This window comes from Homo sapiens, chromosome 4 (assembly GCF_000001405.40).
Source record: "Homo sapiens chromosome 4, GRCh38.p14 Primary Assembly".
Classification (NCBI taxonomy): domain Eukaryota; kingdom Metazoa; phylum Chordata; class Mammalia; order Primates; family Hominidae; genus Homo; species Homo sapiens.
The window spans coordinates 95060191-95086219 of record NC_000004.12 but is presented as its reverse complement, the minus strand read 5'-3'; the positions used below and the strand labels follow the sequence as shown (position 1 = coordinate 95086219).

The following is a 26029-nucleotide window of genomic DNA, read 5'->3' as shown; positions in this document are numbered from 1 at the left end:
TAGGGACAAGAAAGGATTCTTGCTATCAAATGATGCCAATCAAGATTAGAAAAATCTTTCCACCAATAAAATGACCTAATAGTCATAGCTTTATGAATGTTTATTAATGATCCAGAATAATCATATCAGTTTATACCTTTAAAATTAACTGTCAAACATATTAACATTCATTCAAAAGATTTTGTATTTTTATAAACCCTCCTTTTTACACACACACACACACACACACAGGTACACACACACAAATATGTCCACAGTGAGGGTCAACAGGTAACAAATTATTCCCACAAAACCTGTCTCTTCTTGCCAAATGTTCCTAATATTTTATAAACCTCACAAGTAACTTACTACTGGACAAACCTTCCAGCTAATGATCAAAAATATAAAACTTCAAAATATTTTTCACTTTTTCTAAGTTCTTCATAAAATGCCTGAATGCTCATGCCCCAGAAAAAGCTAATGCACAAAACAGGATATACCACGGCACTCTCAACTTCCGCTGCAACATCAAGACTGGCTGATAACTTTGCTTATATATTTTCTATTTACACATATCAAGTTTCCCAGCATTACTTTCCTCCTCACAAGCGGTGAACCCAGAGACCTTCATTACTAACATTCCACAATGCATGGAGAAAGCAAGTTGAGGGACCGGGAGTGGTCCAAGTGTCTCTCTACTTGAGTTTATGTGCAGAATGTCTTTTTGATCTGAGATCCTTTTCTGCCTCCTTCTTGATTTCTTGTTTTCCAGTGGTTTCTCAAAAACTTTGGTATTCTTTGAGACCCAGATGTCTCCTTTCTTCCCTCCTGCACACACTGAGAGGACAGGAAACAGCAGGTGTGAAATGTTCCTGTTTGCCTCTCTCGACTTCACAAGCAACTCCTGTTTGCGAACTGTCTTTCATCCTTGCTTGCTGTCTCAGGGGAGCGACCTGCCATTGGTCTGCTGGATCCCATCTCTTCTCACACACCCAGATGTACAGCCATGGCCACAGTCCCTCTCACAGAGGATGGTTTGCTTTGATACATTCCTTCTTGGGTTATGATCAAAGAGTCATTTTCTCAATCTAGACCAGCCTGGCTAAAGAAGGGTTTTACAACAAAGAGAAAATGAGTGTATGGGGAAGAAAGGGGATGAGAACTCTGAGAGGAAAACCTGAGATGCCTGTGCTTAGGCCTTCATATCAAAATGTAAAAACTTACATACAAAACATGTAACCGGGCACCAGCTCTTTCAATAGGCCAAGTCACACGTGTAACAGGATAACTACACTCCAAGCAGGTGTAGGAATCATGATTTCTAGCTCTAGCTATGCTACTGTCTCAGAAATCTCCAGAATGTCTTGGTTAGAAAACCAGCACAGTGATGATTCACCAAATAAGACTCAGGTTGTAAACACAGGTTCTCACGATACATTTGTTAAGGTAATACTGAGTGAATGAATTAGATTATGGAAAAGACTTAGACAAACATACCTGCCTAGATTAGGAATTTAGTGCAAGGGAAGTGTCCCTGTGTCAACACTGTAATGTAGTAATGCCGCATGGGGATTGCTTTTCCCATGACCACACTCCCTGGATGGGTAACAAAGAGGGTAATAGATGTTTCTAAAGAAAGGAATCATGCACACAAAGTAGTGGCTACTCTGGTAACTTCAAAATATTCCAAAACACTACAACATGTTACACCTCTAACTGCTTCCAACTCTACCTTTACCTAAAACAAAATTTGAGAAAAGGGCATCTAACCTCCCATTGCCTAAGATTATAGAGGGATAAAAATAAATCTGAACCTGCCCTGGCCACAAACTAGAAAATCATTTACATGAAAAAAATGTATATATACACAATACACATATATATACACACACACCTACACATACATATACATACACACACACGTATAAATATAAATTTATAAAGATATGTATAGATCATGTACATACACAGAGTACTGAATATATAAAATATATAAAATTTTTTATATATAAATCTATTTATACATGTGTATATAAAGATATATATCATAAGTTAGATATATGTATGAATGTCACTGATTTAACCTAATTTCAGGTAGATTTTAAAGCTGACATCCACTTTTACATATTTAGGGAATATTACATACATATAAAATTATTTGAGTTTACGTTAGTGACTTTACTGAGGAAGGGATTTGAAAGGACTGAAACAAGACTTTACTATATTAGAGAAAGGGGAAAATGTCAGGACATACAGCCAAAAGTGAATAGTTGTGAATTTCCAAAATTAAACTAATCACAGAGTAATCTGAAAATAACCTGCATTTCCTTTGAGCTTATTATCTACAAAATATATTTAATTACATAAAAATATAGTTTAATACTGCACCATTAACTCAAGTGATTATGTTTTTCATTCTACTTAGTAAAATGGGAAGAAATTATGAAGAAACACACAAAAAAAGAGATAAGCATTATGGAGTGGTTATAGAGTGGTAAACCAAACCCTTAATTCCATCCTCCATAAGGTATCTTTGGGTTGAAGGTGAAGCATCTGCATGCATAGTATAATACTAAGAAACACCAAAAAATAGTGTGTTATCCTGAAATCTTATTAGGCTGCTCTGAGGAGATGAGTTATCTGACCCTGAATATCATAAGCACTTTCCTGTTCCAAATATTTCCAGTTCCTTTCGCTTTTTTATTACAGTAGTAACTCTCTCCTTTTCCCCTCTAACACACACACACCCTTTTTAAATCACTTCAGCTAAACTTCTAACTCTTGAGCTTCTAAGGTTTGAAAAACACTGTAAATTTTTTTTTGCTTCTACAACAAATATCAGCCTGTAGCCATAGATTATAGTTATTTACCATGATTATGGTACTTACCATGATCTTTCTGTGTCTTTATAATCTGTTTTTGTTATCATTGGCATCTTTGTGGAACAGATAAGGACAGTTCTTGCCAAAGAGGCTTGAACTCTTTTGGTGTGGTCAAGCAAAAAATAAAAAAGAATGCTTAATAGGAATGAGATGATTATGTTAAAAATATTGCCAGCTTCAAAGCAAGTTAGGGGTCACATTGTTGTACCTGCATGCCCTGAGTTACCTTATCAATAAAATGAGGTTGTAGGAAGATAAATTCTCTAACCTCTCTTGTACTTCAAACATATTATGATTCTTTTTTTTTTTTTTTTTTTTTTTGAGACAGAGTATTGCTCTGTCGCCCAGGATGGAGTGCAGTGGCGCGATCTCGGCTCACTGCAAGCTCCGCCTCCCGGGTTCACGCCATTCTCCTGCCTCAGCCTCTTGAGTAGCTGGGACTACAGGCGCCCGCCACCACACCCGGCTAATTTTTTGTATTTTTAGTAGAGACGAGGCTTCACCGTGTTAGCCAGGATGGTCTCAATCTCCTGACCTCGTGATCCGCCCGCCTCGGCCTCCCAAAGTGCTGGGATTACAGGCGTGAGCCACCACACCCATGATTCTATGTAACTTCTACTTCACTTACATGTACTCTTTTTTCAAATCTACAGCATGAAAAAAGGGTACTGAATATTACGTTAATAAAACAAGGATTCCAGATCTGCCATTTACTATTTGGGACCTTAAGCAAGTTCTTAATTTCCATTGGTCTCAAACACTTCACAGCAACAATACTTACACTTTATGGAGTTTGGGAGATTAAATGAGATGTAATCATTTATCCCCTATTACAGGTTTAGAAATCTTATTTAATGTAGTCCTCAAAATACTCTGCCATGTAAGGGTTACTACTCTCATTTTACAAATGATGAGGGGACTAGAGCTGGAAGAGGTTATTTGCCTGAGCGCAAACTACTGAGCAGCAGACAAGGTGGAAGTAAAGCTCTGTGCTCTGCGACTTTTAAAACCAGTGATTCCTCTAGACAGCAGTTCTCAAATGTTTTGTTCTTGGGACCCTTTTACGTTGTTAAAAATGACTGAGGATACCAAATTTTCTGTGTGTCTGGATACAGTTTTCGATATTTACTATGTTAAAAAAAAATTGAACAGTTAAAAAATGTATAATTCAATGGACACAGGAAGGGGAACATCACACTCTGGGGACTGTTGTGGGGTGGGGGGAGGGGGGAGGGATAGCATTAGGAGATATACCTAATGCTAAATGACGAGTTAATGGGTGCAGCACACCAGCATGGCACATATATACATATGTAACTAACCTGCACATTGTGCACATGTACCCTAAACTTAAAGTATAATAATAATAAAAAAGTATAATTCATTTTTAAAAAATAATAAACCCATTATATTTTAACATATTTTCAAGAAAACTGTGGCATTGCTCTATGTTTTTGCAAAACTCTTTAACGTCTAATTTAACAGAAGAAACTGGATGTTTGCTTCTGCACTCAATCTGTTATAGCATGTTGTTGTGATTGACATATTAAGAATAATTGGTCTCACACAGACATGTAGTTAGGAGGCTATTTTAATAGCCTTTTCATATGAGTGGTTATTCTTTAATATACACTAAAATTGGACATCACGGAGTTTCTTAAAAGTTACAATATAGGTTCTAAAACCCTATCAATGAAATTTTCATATTCTGATAAATTTAAACCTACTGTCCATCTTGTATTTTAAACTGATCTTTTACCTATGCATGAATATGAAACAACAGGCACTGGCCATCTGGAAAAAAAAATGTTTGGTCCACTCAGTTATGCAGATCAGTTATGTGGATAAAAGCTTCACAAAATCCTAACTTTTGCTTGAAAGTCTGAGTTTTATCATTGGCAATAAATACTGTCAACTGTTTTCCTTGAACTGGCAAGCTCAATTCATTCATTTCTGAGAATATAGCTGCAAATACCCAAGTCTGAATAACCAGTTTTTCTGTCAGTCATTCTTTCTAGTAAAAATTTTGTTTAATGAAGTCTCAAGACACCTGTAGTAGTCCGTTCTCACGCTGCTAATAACGACATACCAGAGACTGGGTAATTTATAAAGGAAAGAGGTTTAACTGACTCACAGTTGAGCATGGCTGAGGAGGCCTCAGAAAACTTACAATCAAGGTGGAAAGGGAAGCAAACACATCTTTCTTCACATGGTGGCAGCAAGGAGAAGTGCCAAGCAAAAGACAGAAAAGCCCCTTATAAACTCATCAGATCTCATGAGAACTCACTATCACAAGAACAGCATGAACATCACCACACCCATTATTCAATTACCTCCTACTGGGTCCCTCTCATGACATATGTGGGGATTATGGGAAGTACATTTCAAGATGAGATTTGGGTGGAGACATAGCCAAACCATATCAATAACCATTGATTCTCAGTTGCTGAAAAATTTTATTATACACACTTTACATTTTGTCACACAGAATATTAAAAAGACATTTACAGAGAGGTTGAGATTTAATAAAATTAATCATTTTATTGCTTCATTAAGGATATTCTTAAATGAAGCTTCCTTTTATTTCTTTGGTTGGTTGGTTTGGTTGGTTGTTTTCACTGTGAGCACACTGGAGTGAAGAATACACATATAGTTTGGTTCCTGCTTCGATTTGTGCTAAAGCTCGGGTGTTTATTATCAGTGCAAATGTCAGTAAAACATGTTAATATTACTATGTTGGCAAATCATACTTTGAAAACTGACACAATAGATGACCAATAACCAGTCATTAGCATTAGAGATATAAAATTTGTAAATATTTTAGGCCAGGTGTGGTGGCTCACGCCTGTAATCCCAGCACTTTAGGAGGCCAAGGTGAGTGGATCACTTAAGGTCAGGAGTTTGAGACCAGCCTGGCTAACATGGTGAAACTCCATCTCCACTAAAAATACAAAAATTAGCCGACATGGTTGTGGACACCTGTAATCCCTGCTACTCAGGAGGTTGAGGGAGGTAAATCACTTGAACCCAGGAGGTGGAGGTTGCAGTGAGCCGAGATCGTACCACTGCACTCCATCCTGGGCGACAGAGCAAGACTTTATATACATACATACGTACATATGTACATACATACATACATACATAAAATATTTTAAGATAAGCTAAGGCATTTTTACTGTGATGGAAGAGAACGGAGTGAGTATAAGAGATGATTTGTTTTAAAAAGAAAAGAATTAAGAAAACGTAATTTTTGAACCTCTTGAGATCTAAACAGAGCTTTTCATTTGTACTTTAAATGCTTTTATTTGTAAATGGCACAATTAAGCTCCTGAGTCTTCATTTTTTAACCTAGCACCTCTTAGATTCAGCCAGTTATGAAGTATTGGCAAATATTTGGGAAAAGAAGAAATGAATCATTAATATGAGAGTAAACAAGCATATACAGAAAGTTCACATTCTCAGAAAAGTAATTTAAAAAAGAAAAAGTTTCTCAAATGTGGAACGAATCAGTCTTGGTTGATTTTTGCTTTTGTTTGCCTATTTGATAGCTTTTGTTTTGGGTTGTAAGTTATCACAGGCAGAATTTTGTTTCTTCTGCATGTTTTTTTTTTTCATTTCACACCTGAACACTGAAGAACTGATTGTATATATAGAGAGACAAACTTTTCCCTAACTTTATGTGTGTTTATGTCTTGATTTGAACTTAGGTCTTGATTTCCAAACACAAGTCAGTTTTTCTTACATGCTAGAGAAAACTGTTAATTCTAAATTAGGAAAAATCATGTTATTACATATAAAGGTCTGAAAGATAAGATACACTAAGGAGACCTTCTTTTCCTACATGAAATTATTAAATAGAGAAGCTCTGAAAGTATCTTTCTTATGTGATATCTTAATTGTGACATTCTACATGAAATATTTAGAATATCCAAATTAGAATATAAACTGCATGAGAGCAAGAGTTATATCCCTTTGGCTAACTGCTACATCCTCAGCATCTAGAATCATGTCAGGCACCTGGCACGCACGTGATAAAGTTTTCTTGAGGTACGTAGAACAACTTCCCTATTGTGAAGGCCTCATGGATCACCTATTAAGACAAAAGGAACAAACACCGTTACCTCACATACATTTATGATTCTGTCCTATCTCAATTGTGTGTATTTTCTATTGCGATTGCCATTTGGTAAAATCTCTGCTTTCTAAAATTGAAAATGAAAGGGGAAAATACAGCTGGGTTTTTCTAACATTTCCCCTTCCTTCTGACATACAATTTTCAAACTCAAGAAATAGAGATTTTGGTTAGGCGCAGTGGCTCAGGCCTGTAATCCCAGCACTTTGGGACGCTAAGGCAGGTGGATTACTTGAGTTCAGGGGCTCTAGACCATCCTGGGCAACATGGTGAATCCCTGTCTCTACAAAAAAATACAAAAATTAACCAGGTGTGGTGGTGTACACCTGTGGTCCCAGCTATCCTGGAGGCTGAAATGGAAAGATGGCTGGAGCCCAGGAGGTTGAGGCTGCAGCGAGCTGTGATTGTGCCACTGCACTCCAGCCTGGGTAGCAGAGCAAGACTCTGTCTCAAAAATAGTAAGGAAAAAAAGAAAGAAATACAGATTTTGACAGAGCCATTTCATTTAAATTATGTTTTAGATAAATAAGGAGTGAAACATGGGAACATGCATGTGAGAGGGTTCTGAACACAGTTTCTAGTACCAATGTAACCTTGGCAGCACATTACAGAAGAAAGTGCATGGGCTAGACTAATTAGCTGTATGGCTTTGACTAAATTCATTAGTTTCTCTAGACTTCAACTTCTTCATCTTGAAAACAGGGGTAATAATATTTACTTCTCACATGGCTGTTGTTAAAATTAAAGGAAGTATGATATAACGCACTTAGTACAGAGCCCAGTGCCTGAGATACAGTAAATGACCAATAAATGTTAGTTCTATTCATTTATCAGAAATCCATGACTTAAAACTTGTCAATAAAAAGAAAGTAAGTTTCACTGCAACTGCATATAGATAAAGCCACTACCAGAATTTAGAACCAATTTAAAAATATATACCAGTTAAAAATATGCACACACAAGACTACTTCCTAGAGTGTGATAGATGACCTCCAAGTATTTATCACTGGTAATACCTACTGGTACTAATTCATATTTTAAAATTTTAGCTAATTGAAGTTACTTTCTACTTTGTTGCATCATTTCACTACTTAGAAGACAATAATGTGGAAATTCCATAGTCATGGTTCCTGCTGGTACTGCTAAGTATCTGTATCACTGCATAAAGAACCAACGTGGAGAACAGTACACACTATGTGAAGCATACTCATGTTACTGACTCATATTTACAGCTGCTTAGTACATAATATCAGCTTGGCTTTCCAAGTGCTACATAGATGCATTTTAAAATGGTATGCTCTGTGTGCCATATTCAATTCACTTTATAAGCTATTCCCAAAGCTAGATGATATTAGCTATATTTTAAACAATATTCTATATTTGCATTACATCTTGTATTTTGCAAGATACATGAATATATATGTGTATGTTAAACAGATTCAGACACACACATTCTATAACATCTTCATGGAGTGTTAACTAGGTTTTAAAACTGGCATACATTTAATAATTTACCTCAGTTCTTCCATGATATATAATCACGAAAAGCCAGTTAAATAACTTTACTAAATTCTAATTTACCATCTTTTAATAGGAAGAGCATACATAGGAAATATCACATTCACTTTAAAATTTATGAAGACAATCTAAAAATTCTACGTAGAAAGTGGCTTATCAACAAACCATTAGCAAAGTGCTTGTGCGCTTTGTGCTTGGTATGCCTCAAACAAACAAATAATAATTCATGAAATAATCCATCAATGAATGAAGGAAAACTACTGAGTGCCTACATCAGGTGAAAACTGTTCTAACAGCTTTCACATGTTTTCATATAACTCTTAACGGAGCCTGGCAAAATAGACACAAGTATTCCCGTTTGTCTAAATGACTGAGGCCTATATAATATAGGGTCTTAAGGTGGAGCTAAGATGCTCACTACTGCACATTACTGTTTTACCAAATCACTCCATAATAGTAATAATACTACATCACCATCAGCCGGTGTATGTACATTTGATTTCTCTTTTTCCCAGTAGGAAGGATAGGTTTTCCTATGTCTTCCGTGTTCCATTACTACAAAATACAAGCTATTGGCTGGAGTCTTTCCTTTCTCCTACCGTTATACCTGTCCCTAACCAATGTTACTGTAATACTCTCTGATCTCCTTCCCATTTCTATCATCTAGTGTTTGCACTGCTGCCTTCTAAAGACAACACACGTGCATATGCTTGTAAAGCGAATAAAGTAAAGCAAATAAAAATCTCTAACAGTTCTAAGGTTCTTAGGAAGGCATTCAATGTTCTTCATGAACTGATTCAATCTTCCATTCCAGCTTCATCTTCTACTATAGTCTGCTCCCTATCCATACCTTATTCTAATTAGATGTACCATGTTTTTGTATTCCCATGTTTTTGCTTATAATTCTGATTGTGTTTCTTTTTTAACGTTTCCACAGAACTTTACTGTGTTATATATTTTACTCTACCTTAGTTGCACACACATGTTCTGGCCTACCAACTACCTCCCTCTTATTCCAAGTAGCATAATTTATTTACATATGAGTCACTCCACTGATTACTTGGATAATTAGCTGTGTGACCTCAGACAATTTACTTAACCTCCATGAACTTTCATTTCCTCATCTGTAAAATGAAGATGATAATAATACTTATATATGTAAAATGCTTTTAGTACCTAGAACAGTTTGCCTCATATAAGTGTGAGCAATTTATATACTACTATTAGCTACAATCTTCAAAAACTTCATTGTTTGATGTTAACTGGCTCACATATGCATCCAACTCTGATTTTCAGTCTTGCAAATTTTTGAAGAAAGACATTTAAATTTCTAAGTATAAAGTATTTTTAAAGACTAGATTATAACTTTTCATAGTAGTTTTACATTAGCAAATACATACATTATTATAATGAACTAAAAAAGACAAGCTAACTATAGCATAAGACCAATCTCAAGTATAATACTAATAAAGTTGGAATGGATTCCTGCAGAGTACAAATTAAGCTCATCCCTCCCATCAAAGCATCAGTTCATCCTAAAATTTTACTACACATACAGTGAAATGAGGGTTGTAAGTCAAGTTAGGACTCTTGGGAAGAAATAAGCCTATTCACTGAACACTTCCATTTCTGCATACAATTTAGAAACTATTTTTGAATGTCTTCTGTACATTTTAGTATTTACACAAAAATATGCCTTGTTTTATAGTTACAGGATATTCATAGTTCAATGCCTGGGTCTTCTCTTCTTTCTCTCTTTGCACTAGACAAATTAACAAGTCTGATCCTTCAGCCCAACTAGAAAAAAAAAGAATGGACATCAGGCTTGTGAGAGTGGCTGGATGGAAGGGGAAAGAAAGCTATGGACAGAAGCCTTACAGTAATATAAACCAAAAGGCAGGCCAACTAGTACCACTGTATCTGAGTGCCTACTTGGAAACATGGAAATAACTGACTGTGTTCTATAAAGTATGAGAGACAGAATATGAAAATTCTCTCAAAAAATATGAGAGACAGAAGCCTTACGGTAATATAAACCAAAAGGCAGGCCAACTAGTACCACTGTATCTGAGTGCCTACTTGGAAACATGGAAATAATTGACTGTGTTCTACAAAGTCTTTCTACTCCAAACTGAGGACTATATGGGTAAGAATTATAAAGGCAAATTAAACAACAATCAAAACTGGGCATAAACACTCAAGTACACAATGGCTATTAAATGATACAGGATTATATTCTTTCATTAGCATCATACTACTAATACTATTAATATATCGTCTACATACAACATGTGAAAATAAAGTACCGCTATCATGCATCTAAAAAACAGACCAACAATAGATTCACTATTAACTGCCTAAAAATCATAAGTATAGCAGTCACTTTCCAATAGAAAATAATTATTAGAAGTGAATATTTACTAAGTTACTGTGAAACAGATCCAATACCTTTTATACAGACTCTGAGAAGAACAGATGGTGAAAACAGTAAAAATTCCAGTGGAAACTATGCCTAATTATTATTAAATTTATGAGGCTTGTCTTAAAGATAAGGTTTGAGTTAAATAACAGCTATCAGCACTTTAGAAAGACACATTTAATCTTAAGACCTACAGTGTGTAAAGCAGGATGGTAAATTACTTAAGAGTAAGTGGGATGTTCTTTAGAGGAATACATTTATCAACAAGACTACAAATTTTTGGTTTCCAGGTCAGTGCCTACTTCTGCAAATGTTAAGCCTCATGAAAAAAAGAAATATGCAGATGGATGCTTTACTTCTTTGCTCATCCCAAAACATACCTCTATTTCATATTTAAAATAATCATGAGCAGGCATGTAACTTTTCTGACTTTTCTATCTGATTTCAGGTCCAGGTATTTTTAAATTTCCATTACCAAACTCAGGTCCAGGTTTTTTTTTAATTTCCATTACTAAATAACAGTAATTTACCTAGAGTAGCAGCAAAAACAGCATAACTACTCTAGCTTCACAGTACTTTGTTTACTTTAGCAATTTTTCATTCATAAAAGACTGTGCTTTTGAAAGTGACTGAATATATATTTAGGCATCCTTATATTATTTGTATCATATTAGAACCAAGAGAACAGCTGCAGTCCAAGGTAGCTGGAAGTGGTAGGACAGGGCCTTGGGGTCTTCAGGAAAAAAACAATGACGAAAAATGAAAATGAAGAAGAAAACTAAAAATGCCACCCATCGGGAGTGAGGATTCGTTAACTATTCCTGTGCACCCCTCCACCCCGAGTAAGGAGAAAACAAAGGCCTTTCCAAGCGCCTCTAGTAGGGCCAAAGCATGTGAACTGAAAGGAAAGATTTCTCAAGGCAAACAAAACCAGCGTTCCAGGCACTATTCTAAGTATTTTTCATGTATTAACTAAGTTGCTTGTTCCAAGAAGCTGTGGAAAGAGTAGTATTGTATTTTTCATATTGCAATACAGAAACTGAGGCACTAAGAACTTGCTCAAAGTCACAGAGCTAAGAAAGAGCTGAAACTGAGATTTAAATACAAAAAGTGACTCCAAAGCCACTTTTGGATTTCCAAGTATCTTCAGTAAAAAAACAGGATTTCCAAGTATCTTCAGTAAAAAAAAAACACTTACCAAGGCAAAAGTCAATGCAAAATTAAAGTCATCATATAATAATCAAGTATGTCTATATTACTCAAACTCCTACCTAGAATCACTTTTAAAAGACACTTTGTTCATTTGTAGAGTGTTTATCTCGACAATTCACAACAAGGAAAGAGAGATGCAAGTTTCTATGCCACCACATTCTGCTTTGGTCTTAAAAGTGTTTTTATCTTTCTTTAAAAGTGAATTCTAATGAGCCCTTAATTGTCAAAGGACTTCATAAATATTCATTAGACATTAACAGAAGTCCTGTTTCCCATTCCTAAAAGCTGAGAGAGAAAACAGTAAGACTTTAAAGTGGCATAGGCATGAAGAAAGACTAAGTGGAACTGTAAACATTTGGTTTTGTATTAGATGTTTATTGAAAGGCTCAAATCATTATAACACTTAAATTCTCAGTGTGAAAATATTTTTTTTTCCTTAAGAAGAAGTTATCCAGAGTATCATCTCTGTTGGTGATATTTTCTTCTTTTCAGTCCCTCATCCAATTCTGAAGGATCCAAAACAATTCACTAACTCTTTATAATGCCTTCTGCACCACTGAACAGTAAAATGGTTATGATGTTGGGAGGAAATGATTTTGATCTAAATCAACAAGACAAGCCCTGCTACTATGAAAGTGCCATAAACCTTTTTCATAAAAAAAGGGTTTTCACACTGGATTTGTGTCTACAAAGAAAACATTCACCAAAATGTTGCATAGCAGTCAGGATAATATCACACAGACAAACTTCTCTTCATGAAGTCACAGCCTTGAATGTTTCCTAGTTGCCAAAACCGGGGAGATGCCCAGAAGATATCATGGCAATTCCGTGTTCCCAAATGGCTTGGCAAGTCAAATATTAACTTACTAAGAACAAATCTCTCCAAAGCCCGCCACTTCTAATTCACTGCTGAAAAAGAAATCTGTAAAAGAGGGAAAACTATGTTTGCTATTTCTAGCAATGATTTCCCCCCCTTATCTCTTAGAACTTTTGTTTCCCCAGCCAAGAAGCATAACAGATAGATTTTTAGAAAGCTACCTTCATAAAAGACTCAACTGTGAAGTAGCTTCCTTGTCACTATCATGCAACCAAAAGCAAGAGCTATATCATATTGGTCAAATTTGAAGAAAATAGAAGATGAATATTAACTCAAGAAAATGATTATGCTTATTTAATAGACTCTTTCTGTAATTTCCAATATGAACCAAATTCAGAATACTTAAATCATTTTAATTTTTTAAAATTTTTAATTAAAAATGATTAATGAAATAATTTGTTTTGCTTCTTCACTGTGTTTATTACTTTATTATTATTCTACCACCTTCCAAATGAATATGTATGGTGATATAAACAAAATGTAAAAAGGATAAAACTAAAACATAAGTATGTAGTTTTCTTAATGGCTGTTTAATAATTTAAAGTTCAGAGTAAGAAACGGAATTTTAATCCCATATAGTTAGTTTCAATATACATGAAAAATATCATGGTGAAGAATACAACTACTTAAGACTTGTAGTTTTCCTCATTTTATTAAACTTTATTCTGGTCTCTATTAAGTGTTACCTGACACTTGTCTTCCACTTCATTAGAATAACCAAAATGTCTGACCTTCTTGCTCAATCCCTAGAGCTAAGCCTAAGATGCTTCCTGATTGAATAAATGTGAATGAACTTAAAATTGGTTATTGTGATGGTTAATTATGTGCATCAACTTGACTGGGACATAAGGTGCCCAGATATTTGCTCAAACATAATTCTGAGTGTTTATGTAAGTGAGGGTGTCTTTGGATGAGATTAACATTGAAATCTATAGACTGGGTAAAGCAGATTGCTCTCCCTACTGCGGGTGGGCCTCATCCAATCAGCTGAAAGCCTGAATTGAACAAAAAGGCTGACCCTTTCTCAAAGTAAGAGAGCCCCGCCTGACTGCCTTCATACTAGGACATGGGCTTTTTTTCCTTTCTTTGCACTTGAACTGAAACCTCCCCTCTGCTTAAGTCTTGACTTTGCTGGCCTTCTGCCTCAAACCATGCCATCCAATTTCCTAGGTCCTGAGCTTGCCAAGTGCAGATCTTGGGACTTGTTAGCCTCCAGAATCAAGTGAGCCAATTCCTTATAATAAATCTCTTTACACACATGCACACAAACAGACACACACGCCTTATCACCTTATTGGCTCTGTTTCTCTGGAGAACCCCAATTAACAGTTAACAAAGTGTCACTAAATAACCAGGCATTTTAAAAAACAAATACAAATAACCAGGCATTTTAAAAAACAAATACAAAGGGTTATTTAACTAAATCTGAAGTATCTCAGGCCCTTGAATTATGGTTTTCATGATTTCTTCCATTCAAGAAAGCAAGAACTGTAATTTCATTGTCAGCAATATAGAGTTCATATATATATATATATATATATATATATACACACACACACACACACACAAACACACATATATATTCATAATCTATGCTTTACTGATTGCAATTTTGGCAACATAGCCCTTCATAACTCTGTGACCCACTGAGTATCCAATGTAAGCTCAGACTGGCAAACCATTAACATCTTCTTAGTGTACTGCAAAGTATCAGTATGAGATTAAACAGCAAAGATTCCATTCAAATAAGTCAAAGATTTCATCCACAGCTAAGGTATATTCACCAACTAAGAGATGATTACTGATCAGACAGAGTGATTTTTGTTTTAATTTAGTTTCTATAAATTTCCTTGGGCAGTATCTTTCTCATCTCTATCCTCTATTGGCCCAGAGATTTGTATATAATAATGTTTTCCAACAGTAATTGCTCCCTTGAGAAATGAAATTGTTTAATAAATTTCTAAATTGAAGACCAGTTCAAGATGCTTGACTCTCCTCTATTAAATAAGGTAATAAAATCACCAGAGGTATGAAAGCTACTGGCAAAAACCTAAGCTTCAGAATACATGAAAAACGTGTTGGTGAAGAATACAACAATTAAAATTTTTATATTATGAAACAGATACATACATACCAAAAATCTTACTTGAAACATTTAGACATTTTTCATTACATGGATTCTGAGTGTTTTAGTATAGAACATACTCATTTCTGGTGACTAAAGGAAGAAGAAAAAGTACTTCAACATGTTTTCAACAAAAGGAAATGGCTATGAAAGCAAAATAAAGAGTTTGAGGCTAGCCAGGACAAACTAAAGGTAAATTCCTTGTACTCTAGAGATACTCAGGCGTTTTGTCTTAAGATAAATGCCTTTATCTTTCTTTCAAAATGTACAATACATTTTTTTATTTCTTAAAGTTTTCTTTTTCTATTTTTTAAATAATCTAGAAAAGAAATAGTGGCAATGATTAAGAACTTCTATGCTCCTGCAGGAACACAGTGAGTTACATATGGGTCCTCCTTGTTTGTTTTTTTGTAAGGCCACTAGACTAACTCAAGGCAAAACTTCCTCACTAGGCACTAGTTTACCCTACAGTATCCTTTCCTGAGCCCTAGGCCAACACACTCAACTGACTACCAAGCATCTTAGTGACACTAAGAAGTCTTGTTTATATGTCAAACTCAACAAACTCTGAAGTTACTCTTCTTTTTCAAGAAGGCTTTCCACCCTATCCCTTTCTTTCCAAAATCTGCTCTTTCTTCAGCATTCTCTCTGATGAACATCACCGCCATCCACCCAGCTGCCAAAGTGAAAAACCTGAGTCTTCTTATATCTCTTCTGCTCTTATATTCGCTATGCCCAATCCATCAACAACTCAATCATTTTAATCTTCCATATTTTTCTGTAATCCTTCCTCCTCTCACCATTGATGACGTTAAGAAGATGCCAAAAGGAGGCCCTCATCATTTCTTACCTGATTGACGGCACAGCCTCCTAATTTCCATTCTCTATCCCTACCTTCCTTTAGCCTTCTTTACACCACAGCTAAGATTACAGTTTTTGTTTGTTTGTTTGTTTGTTTGTTTTGTTTTGTGACAGAGTTTCCCAGTTTCTCTCTTGTTGCCCAGGCTGGAGTGCAATGGCGCAATCTTGGCTCATGGCAACCTCTGCTTCCCGGGTTCAAGCGATTCTCCTGCTTCAGCCTCCCAAGTAGCTGGGATTACAGGCATGTGCCACCATGCCCGGCTAATTTTGTATTTTTAGTAGAGACGGGGTTTCTCCATGTTGGTCAGGCTGGTCACGAACTCCCAACCTCAGGTGATCCACCCACCTTGGCCTCCCAAAGTGTTGGGATTACAGGCGTGAGCCATCACGCCTGGCCAAAATTACAGTTTCTAAAATATCCATTCATTCATCTACTTAACAATTACTTAATGAGCACCTTCCAGGTACCAGGCTCTGTTCTAGGCCCAAGGACATAGCAGTAGAAAGAAACAGACACGATTCCATGCCCTCACAGCTCACAGTCAATGGAGAAAAAGAAACAGTAAATAAAACAACATAAAGATATCTAAATTATACTAAGCACTTTGGAGAGAAATAAAGTAGGAAACAGGACAGATTTATTGGGAGTAGTCATGATTTAAAAAGGATAGCTAGAATTCCTCCATGTAAAAGTCAGTTTTGAGAAGGGAAGGATGAAGAGAGTGAGTTGTAAAGAAAAGGGGAAATGTGTTCTAGACAGGAGTGTCGAGCAAGAGCCTTGAAGGAGAAGTGCACCTGGCATTCTTGAAGAGTAACAGGTGCCAGTTTGTCCAGCAAGAATAACAGTAGTACATGGTGAGGTCAGACAAGAAATGGGGAACAGATCTTCATGGGCCTTTCTGAAAACTTCTACTCTGATTGCTATGCTAAGAATAGACTATAGAGAGCAAAAACCAAAGCAGAGAGCCAGTCAGGAGATTGTTGTTATAATGAAGGCAAACACTGACTGTGGTTTGGACATGGGTGGTAGTGGTGGAGGTGATGAGAAGTGGTCAGATTCAAGATATATAATAAGTCCTCACTTAATGGTGTCGATAGATTCTTAGAAATTGCAACTTTAAGCAAAACAATGTGTAGCAAGTCCTTAATGTCATTTCCTTCAGCAAAATAATGTCATTTCCTATTGGTAAAAACCTAAGCTTCAAAATACATGTCACTATAGTGAAGTGAGACAATATATTTCCATTATAACACTGATGAAAAAAATTGGTTTCATTATATGTCATTTTGCTTAAAGTGCCAGTTTCCAAAAGCCTATCAACAACATTAAGTGAGGACTTGCTGTACTTTGAAGGTACTTCATAATTTTGGTTCCTCAGGAAAGTAAAGCCTAAGACAACTGCTTGCATAGAGTGAGTTTATTTGGGAATGACATCCCAGGAAGTTGAAGTTTGTGACTGGGGTTGTGAAATAACAAAGGAAACAATGGCAATTCAAGGATAAGTTATCTAGTTCAATCTCACTAAAGGAAACAAGTCCAAGTATAGCCAACCCATGGAATAAAAGGAGAAGTGATTACCTCTCAGTTCCTATCCCCCACTGGTAAGGTCTGCTTTCATGGGCCATTAACCAGCCCTCATTGCAGGTTATACATGAGTATAGAATGGTTGCTCCTAGCATCCCATGTGCTGCATCAAAGAGGGTCCATGACAGGAGGCCAGGAGATGAGATAGTGTTCAGTTCCACCTTCACAAAGCTGGGCAATGTCTCCATGGAACTGGTGGCTGTAGCCCTGACAGCAGTCACGGGTAGGTCAAAGAGGATTTGGACGTGGTACACACAGATGCCCAATGTAGACAGTACTGACTAATTTTCCAGTGAGCCATGTCTATTATGTGAGAGACAAGGAAAAGCTAAGCATAATATAGTTTTGTCTTAATTAACTATAAGGATGGAACTGCCATTAAGTGATAGAGAAAACGGGAAATACGATTATGTTACTTTTCTTCTCAAGAGCCAGCCACGGATCTACACACCCACAGGAAAAAAACATGTGGTTCCTAGCCTGTGTCTACACAAACCTTCATCATCATTCCCCTGTTTAAAATCTCAACTTAGCTGCTCACTACCCCTCACCTCCAACTCTGCAGTGACACTAAACCCTGTGCAGTTCTCCAGCAGTGCCATGCTCTTTTAGATCTTTCTGGGTGTTTTGCGAATGTTGGTCCCTCTATGTGGAACTTGTTTACTTCCTTTCTTTGCCTCTAAATGCCTTATCATCCTTTAGTTCTCAACTTGATTCAGACCTCCCTTTAAGTCAGATGCACACCTATCCGTTCCCAAAGTATTCTTTGTATTTGTTTGCCCCCGCGACCTCCATCTGGGAATGTTTTCCTTAAATCCACAGGGCATTTCACAACGTTTGAAGACACTAAACATTTAATAAAGGTTTGATAAACCAAAGGAAAAAATGGTTTCTTCAAGTCATTATATGCTTAAAGATGTAATAAAATGATGCTTAAGGGGAGGAGTAACATAATCAGAGTTTGTGTCTCATCTCAGACTTAAAGGTAAAATATTGTTTTCAACACGTCTATTATTTACAAGACTAAATGACATATTTTGTTAATGCTGTTCATGCAGGGCAGAGACCAACAAACTTCTTCTCATAGTGCTTTCTTGGCTTCATTCCATTTTCATTTTGATGGAAAATGTGAGCACATTAATTTTAGATTCAACATAGGTTTCTGTCGGGTAAACTTCTTGGCCGACTAGGTTTTCTAAACCTAGTCCTTTTCACTTGGAACAAATGTGTTATTCCAGAAGATGCCAACACATCATGTGTTACTGATAAATAACAAGATTAAGAGGAAAAATGAAAACATTTAAAATGCAAAACATACTTGGGAAAAAATTACACAGTAAAGTGACCTGGGGAATGCCCTTAGCAATTTTCTAAATTATTTGGATTATACCTTCAGGACTTAAGAGTAGATCTAGGCCCTATTAAATCTGTAAAATGCTACCAGTTTAGGGAATAAAATGGCATACAAAGAAAGCACCTATAATTTATAGCAAATAAAAATATCACTTCAGTTTGAAAATTCCAAAGTTCTATTAAATCATTCAACAACTCTCTCAATTAAAAGAAATAAGAAACCAATACATCCTTCAGAGATGCATGGATTAAATCAGATATCTTGATATTGTAGCATAAACTAAAATTCCTCTACTAGAAAAATAAGACAGAAGACTCTATTACCTAAATAAAATGCTTTAATCGTTCCAAAACTGTGCTCACAAATGCATTTCCATGCATTTCCATTGCCTGTTATTCACCTGCCATTGAAAAACCAACATAATTTAGTCCAGTGGTTCTCAAAGTTTAATGCATAACAAAATCACTGAGGGGCTTGTTAAAACATGGATCTCTGGGCTCAAAAACCCCCTAAGGTTTTTGATTCAGTGGATTTTAGTTGAGACCCAATAATTTGCTTTTATACCAGGTTCCCATGTAATGCCACTGCAGGGACCACAATTTGAAAAGTATTATCTAGTCAAATTCTGGCTTTTGTGCAAAAATTTCCACTCCCTCACACAAGCTTCTGGCACTGCATATTTTCTCACTTTGACTTTGCTTAAACTATTCCAATCGCTCCTATGTTTACAAGCTCTAGAAACAGAAGAAAGAAACTTTACCTAACCTGTATGCTACAGAATAACTGCATTTCCAACTGTATTTGAATGCTAGCATAACTATATTCATCTTTGCCATCATATGTTATTAATACCACAACAAACAAACCTCAAGGCCCTGAGGTCGTTTTCCCTCCCCAGTAATGGCCATGGCCCTGAGTGGGAAAAGCATGAAACAATATTCTAGGAAAATATGCTTATGTTATGTCTATGTGCTCCTCCTATCTGAGAAGGGCTTGTCAGTACAGGCAATTTCCCAACCACTCTCCCCTGTGACAGGAAAGGCATTTCTGTTATATTAACAAGTAGAAAAGTAATAGACACCTCTGATTCAGGAATGAGCCTTTCTGGCCTAGGGCCTGTGCTTTGTCTGCCAAGAGAATCTTTTATTCTGTGAGGGGAGAGACCATGATAAAGGTTCATAGGCAAATTAACAGCTACTCACAAGGCTAGACTGAGAATTATGAACAGCAGCTGTCCCAAGAAGGTACCATTTCCCCTTAAGCAAGCAGGATTGCAGGTGGGCTACTGCGCTAAGTTTTTAGCAAAAGAAAAGTAATCTGATTTGAATCAGGACTCATGGCAACTCTAAATCACATATAGTTTTTCTCATCAGTTAAATAATAAAATGACAAAACTGTTTCGGTAAAATTCTGATTTTAAAGATAAAATATTATTATAATTGATATTGAAGAAAGCAAACAACGTTCATTGCAGGACTCCTAGTTGCATATTTTCTTGTAGAAGATATTTTCTTGAACCGTCTTCAATTATTAGGAAAAAATCCATGTTTCAAGCTGAAAGGGAGGAGGGATAATGTACTTAATTTCATTTCTGGCTGACTCTTCTGTTATATAAAATGCTACAAATATATTTAAAAATGGATAAGAGAATACAAGATTCTTACAATTCATTTTTATAAAATCTTAACAGATATTTTACTTCTAAGGAATAAAATATTAGAGAATGAAGTCAAATGAGTACCAGTTCCTTCACCTCCCTTATTCTGCACTATCCTAAATTTGATTATCACGCCTATGAATATTTTTAGGAGCTTTATTGGGATATAATTAACATACTATAAAATTCACTCATTTAACATGTACAAATCATTGCTTTTTAATATAGGCATAGAGTTATGCAACCATCAAATGACATAATTTTAGAACATTTTCAACCCCCTCAAAAACAAAACCATATACAGGCAGTCACTCTCTATGCCCCCACGCCTCTCTGGAATTTTCATGTAAATAGAAAACACAACCTATGGTCTTTGTATCTGGTTTCTTTCACTTAGCATAGTTTTCAAGATTTATCCATGTTGTAGCATGTATCAGTACTTCATTCTTTTTATTGCCAAATAACATTCTATTATATAGATATACAACAGTTTGTATTAGTAATATATTTAACATTTATATTACCTATAACGCTGCTATGAACATCTGGGTGCAAGTTTTTTGTGGACACATTTTCTCATCTCTCTTCGGTATATACCTAGGAGTCAAATTGCTGGATCATATGACAACTACATGATTATCACTTTGAGAAACTGCCAGACTGTTTACCAAAGTGGTGGTACCATTTTATATTCCCAGGAGCCACAGATGAGGATTCCAATTTCTCCACATCTTTAGGATCATTTTTTATTATATCTTTTATTACAGCCATCCTAGTACATGTGAAGTGGTATATTGTGTTTTTGATTGAATTTCTCTGATAACAGGATGCTGAGCATTTTTTCATGTGATTGTCAGCCACTTGTATACATTCTTTGGAGAAATGTCTGCTGAGATCCTCGTCCATTTTCAAACTGGGTTATTTTTCTTTTTATTATTAATTTGTAACGGTTCTTTACATAGGCTAGATTCATGGGTGTTATAAGATACATGATTTGCAAATATATTCTTCCATTATGTGGACTGTCTTTTCACTTTCTTGGCGACGTGCTCTAAAACAGCAGTCCTCAGTCTTTGCGGCACCAAAGACCAGTTTTGTGGAAGACAATTTTTGTATGCACAGGGGTGGGAGGGGTGGTGGGGGATGGTTTGTTCCACCTCAGATCATCAGGCATTAGATTCTCATAAGGAGCCCACAACTGTGCATGAACCCTTGCATGCACAGTTCACAACAGCGTTTGCTCTCCTATGAGCATCTAACGCTCCCACTGATCTGACAGGAGGCACAACTCAGGCGATAATGCTCACTTGCCAACTGCTCACTTCCTGCTGTGTGGCCAGTTCCTAACAGGTCAGGGATGACTACCAGTCCATGGTCCAGGGGTTGGGAACCCCTGTTCTAAAGCACATAATTTTTTTAATTGACAAAGACTGTTTCATTATTTTTTTCTATTATTGCTTTTGCTTTTGGTGTCATATCTATGACAGTTTCTTAATCTTATGAATATTTCCATATAATTATTTATCTATACCTATAAATGATATATATCACTCTTAAAAATGGTTGAAACTATTATACTCCAACTAACAGTGGTTAAGGGTTCCCATTTCTCCACATCCTTGCCAAACCTTGGTAATCTAAAACTGCTAATTATTTTGCCAATCTGCTGACTATAATGTGATATGTCATATTATTTTAACTTGCAATTCTCTATTTATTTAGCTTCTTTTCCTATATTTCCATATTACTCCTCTATGAATGCCCTGTTCGTGTCTTCTGCTACTTTTATTGTTTATTTTCATTTTTCTCCTTCTTGAAGATTTTTTATATGCAATTAATAATAGATACTTTCCAGTTATATGTCATACAGCATGTTTTTCAAGAGTATGGGGTGTCCTTTTGCCTGTCTGTAGTTTGTTTTATTTACTACTACTGATTTTACTGTTAACAAATTCTAAAATGTTTTATGTTATGTGGTTTTGCATATTTTTGAATATCAAGTCATATAAATATTCTCCTCTAAGAAATGTTATTTGGTATAGCTGCTAGAAGAAAAGATACAAACGCCAGTGTTGATTTCAATCTAAAATGTACCATGTATTAACTCTGTGACCTCGAGCAAGTTATTTATCTTCTCCGAACTGTTTCTACATTTATACAAATGGAATAATAAAAGCTCCTGCACCTATGATCTACCCTAGGCTATAATCATATTATTTTAATCACTATAGCTAAAAAAACTGTAAAACCATAAGTATTTTTATATCTGAAAGAGCAACTATCCTTAACTTGTCCTGTGCTTAACATCTATAAATGGAAACATGCACATATTAAAACCTAAAATGAATGCTGATATTTGTATGCTTGGATTTCTAAATTGTAAAACCACAAATGGAATATGTTAGTTATTGTCTATTAGTTTATTAATAGCTATTGTAACTATAAGAATGCCACTTTCTTTTTTACCCCTAGATCTTTTTTTATTATTTTGAGGATAATAAGGTGATTCATTAAAAGCAGAGAAATAATAAAAACAATCCAGACTAAAAAGTAAACCATTCTAGAACTTCTTGGGGGAGTAATTTTGCCAGAGTATCTTATAAAATGTCAATAGATAATATGACATCTTTAGCAGATTTTTAAAAGCCCTTAAGTAGCAAATATAAGCAGCAAAACAAAGCCACAGGAGGAAACGAAGCATTCTCATTCGGCTTGCAAAACCAAAGTCAGTATTTACAGTTACTGAAGAAATAATTAATGGAGAGTTTGAAAAATCAGGATAAATACTACACCAATTTTACCTGCTAAAGAAGGTTCACTGATTATTCTAAAACATTCTACAGCAATTGCCCAAAGCCATAAAATCAAATGTGTAAATCTAGAGGATCCAAGTACAAGTGATATCCTACAATGGAAAGGAACATTAACCATGCAATTTTAGCATTAAGAAATAAATCTGTAGAGATGTTCACACTCATTTCCAAGGTGTACAGCTGCAGATCACGTTTCTTATTTGCAGTCATAGCTAGTTAGGGTATTTTGCATGTAATCTCTTTAGATTAACATTTTAGGAAGAGGAAAAAAAAGATGCTCCATTCTTCAATCTGGGGTGCAAATTTTTTGTCCTAGAACTCAAATGTGTTCCTCTACTTTGTCCCCTTCTCACCTCAGATAATGAGATATTTTAGGTCAGAACAAACTATGCATAAGCTGCATTCCCAGAATCACTAAATTATGAAAGTCTAAATGTGGTTGAATATAGAGTACTTTTTGCAAATTATATTAGAATATTAGAATGCATATATTAGAATAAATAGGAAATCAAAGCAGAAGTTATCAGTTCTGAGCTTTTTTCATACACTGACATTTATTCTTGGAGGTGGTGGTGATGGTAGGGAATGTTTTGTAACCTGTTTCTTAAATAAAATGCTCCTGTGGTATATTAGTCTGTTCTTACACTGCTATAAAAAAAAACTACCTGAGAATGCATGATTTATGAAGAAAAGAGGTTGAATTGACTCACAGTTCCACAGGCTGTACAGGAGGCATGGCTGGTGAGGCCTCAGGAAACTCACAATTACGGTGGAAGGGCAAAGGGGAAGCAAGCACATCTTCACGTGACGGCAGGAGAGACAGTGAGTGAATGGGGAAGTGCCACACACTTTTAAACCATCAGATCTCATGAGAACTCACTCACTGTCACAAGAACAGCAAGGGGGAAAACCACCGCCAAGATCCAATCACCTCCCACCAGGTCCCTCCCCCAACATTGGGAATTACAATTCATCATGAGATTTAGGTGGGGACACAAATCCAAACATATCATGTGGCAAAGACCTTGTTTTGGCTTTCTAAACATACAGCCTAAACAACAATCCTAAGGCCAAATCTAAAGTAATTCCTAAAGAACTAGAACTAAAAATTCTAGGATCCCAAGTTCTGTCCTGGGACTCTAGTACTAATAGTGAGACTTTAAACAATTCACCTAACAACTTTCTGCTTCATTTTCTTCGCTTTCAAAAATGAGAAAACAAAAGTAGATAATAAAAATTAACCAGGTCTTTTTTTCAAATGTAGGTGCTTTTTTGTTTTAGGTTGTACACATGTTTGTTTACATAACAGCACTTTATTTTCTGTTAAAGGAAACCTCCAGCTCCATCATCCCACACACAAACTACTTCCGTTCTTACTTGAAAGGAAATTCCTTTTCAAGGTTCACAGTACATTAGAGACAGCTGCATTGCTGAGCTTCCTCCAGAAACTTAAAAAAGCTGCAGATGTAGCCCATGCATGACATGGATTATGGAATGGGGCAATCCCAAGCATTTGGAATGCCTCTTCTCTTACTCTCTTTTAATTTTATATATTCTGGGGTATTGCCTATGTATATTCAATGGAGGGGTGTGTGGTGTGTGTGTGTGTGTGTGTGTGTGTGTGTGTGTGTGTGTGTGTGTGTGTTTATTCTAAATCAAGTCAAAAATTCCTGAGTGAACACAGGAGCTCTCTGAAATAGCTATCTTGAGTGCTAATTTTCAAAGCAAGATAGGGTAAAAAGTACATTTCCAGTTAATGATAACAACAATCAGACTACCTATTTACTTCCGAAGAGGCAAACCTCACATCAACCACACAGTCATTCCCTGGGTATGTTTCCATATTGCCCGGGAACTCAAAAGTGTTTATCTGGAAAACTCAATTCTGGACTCAAGAATCCACAAAATAATATTAAACTAAGGTAGTAAGAATTCTGGCATAGATCTTTTCCAGCAGAAGCAGGAAAGAGTTATGACTTAGTTTCTTTTCAGAACAGTCCCCAAAACTGCCTAGATAGCCACAAAGACATAACTCTTTCCATTAGGAATAATCTGTTTAATATAACTGGGGATGAGCAGAGGGCCCAGGAGCAAGCAAACTGCAACACAGTGCTTTCTGAAGGAGCAATCACAGAGCCAAACTCTGAACAGATTTCCAGGCGCTTCATAGGTATCTCATGACTATTTGGAGACAGAAATCACTTAGTTAAATGTATCTGAGGAAGAGACGGGAAATTTGGGACTCCTACTTCATTTCACTCTTGCAGAAATCTTTCAGCTCATACTTGGATTGTTCATACTAAATTAAGATTCCTTATCCCTTCTTCATCATTGGGGACAATATTTGTGTAGTGCTAGGACAACTGTTTTATTAAACAACACATCATGCTGATAAAATATTTTATAAAAGAATGTCTAAACTGGGTATATGGGTAAGTTACTTTTGAAACAAAGTCTGAAAATCCCTTTTAAATACACACAGTTTCTTCTCTTGTTCTGAAAGTGGGGTTAGAGGTTCTATCTGTAGGGAAAGAATAAACTGAACTTTATTATCTTGAATTCAATGTGTACAAACTCTCTTGGGATAGCTTATTAAATTTAAGCCTTCTCAGCTC

At 35.9% G+C, this 26029-nt stretch overlaps 1 protein-coding gene and 1 long non-coding RNA gene across 11 annotated transcripts in view; both read right to left on the bottom strand.

Annotated features, from left to right (window-relative positions):
• BMPR1B (bone morphogenetic protein receptor type 1B) overlaps nt 1-26029 on the bottom strand; it is a 400496-nt gene that overhangs the window by 72231 nt on the left and 302236 nt on the right. The gene's annotated exons all lie outside the window — the stretch shown is intronic.
• Nucleotides 19264-24238, bottom strand: LOC124900735 (uncharacterized). The gene is made up of 2 exons (XR_007058193.1): nt 24125-24238; nt 19264-20498 (listed from the first exon to the last, which is right to left on the bottom strand). It is a non-coding gene; the product is annotated as an uncharacterized LOC124900735 (long non-coding RNA).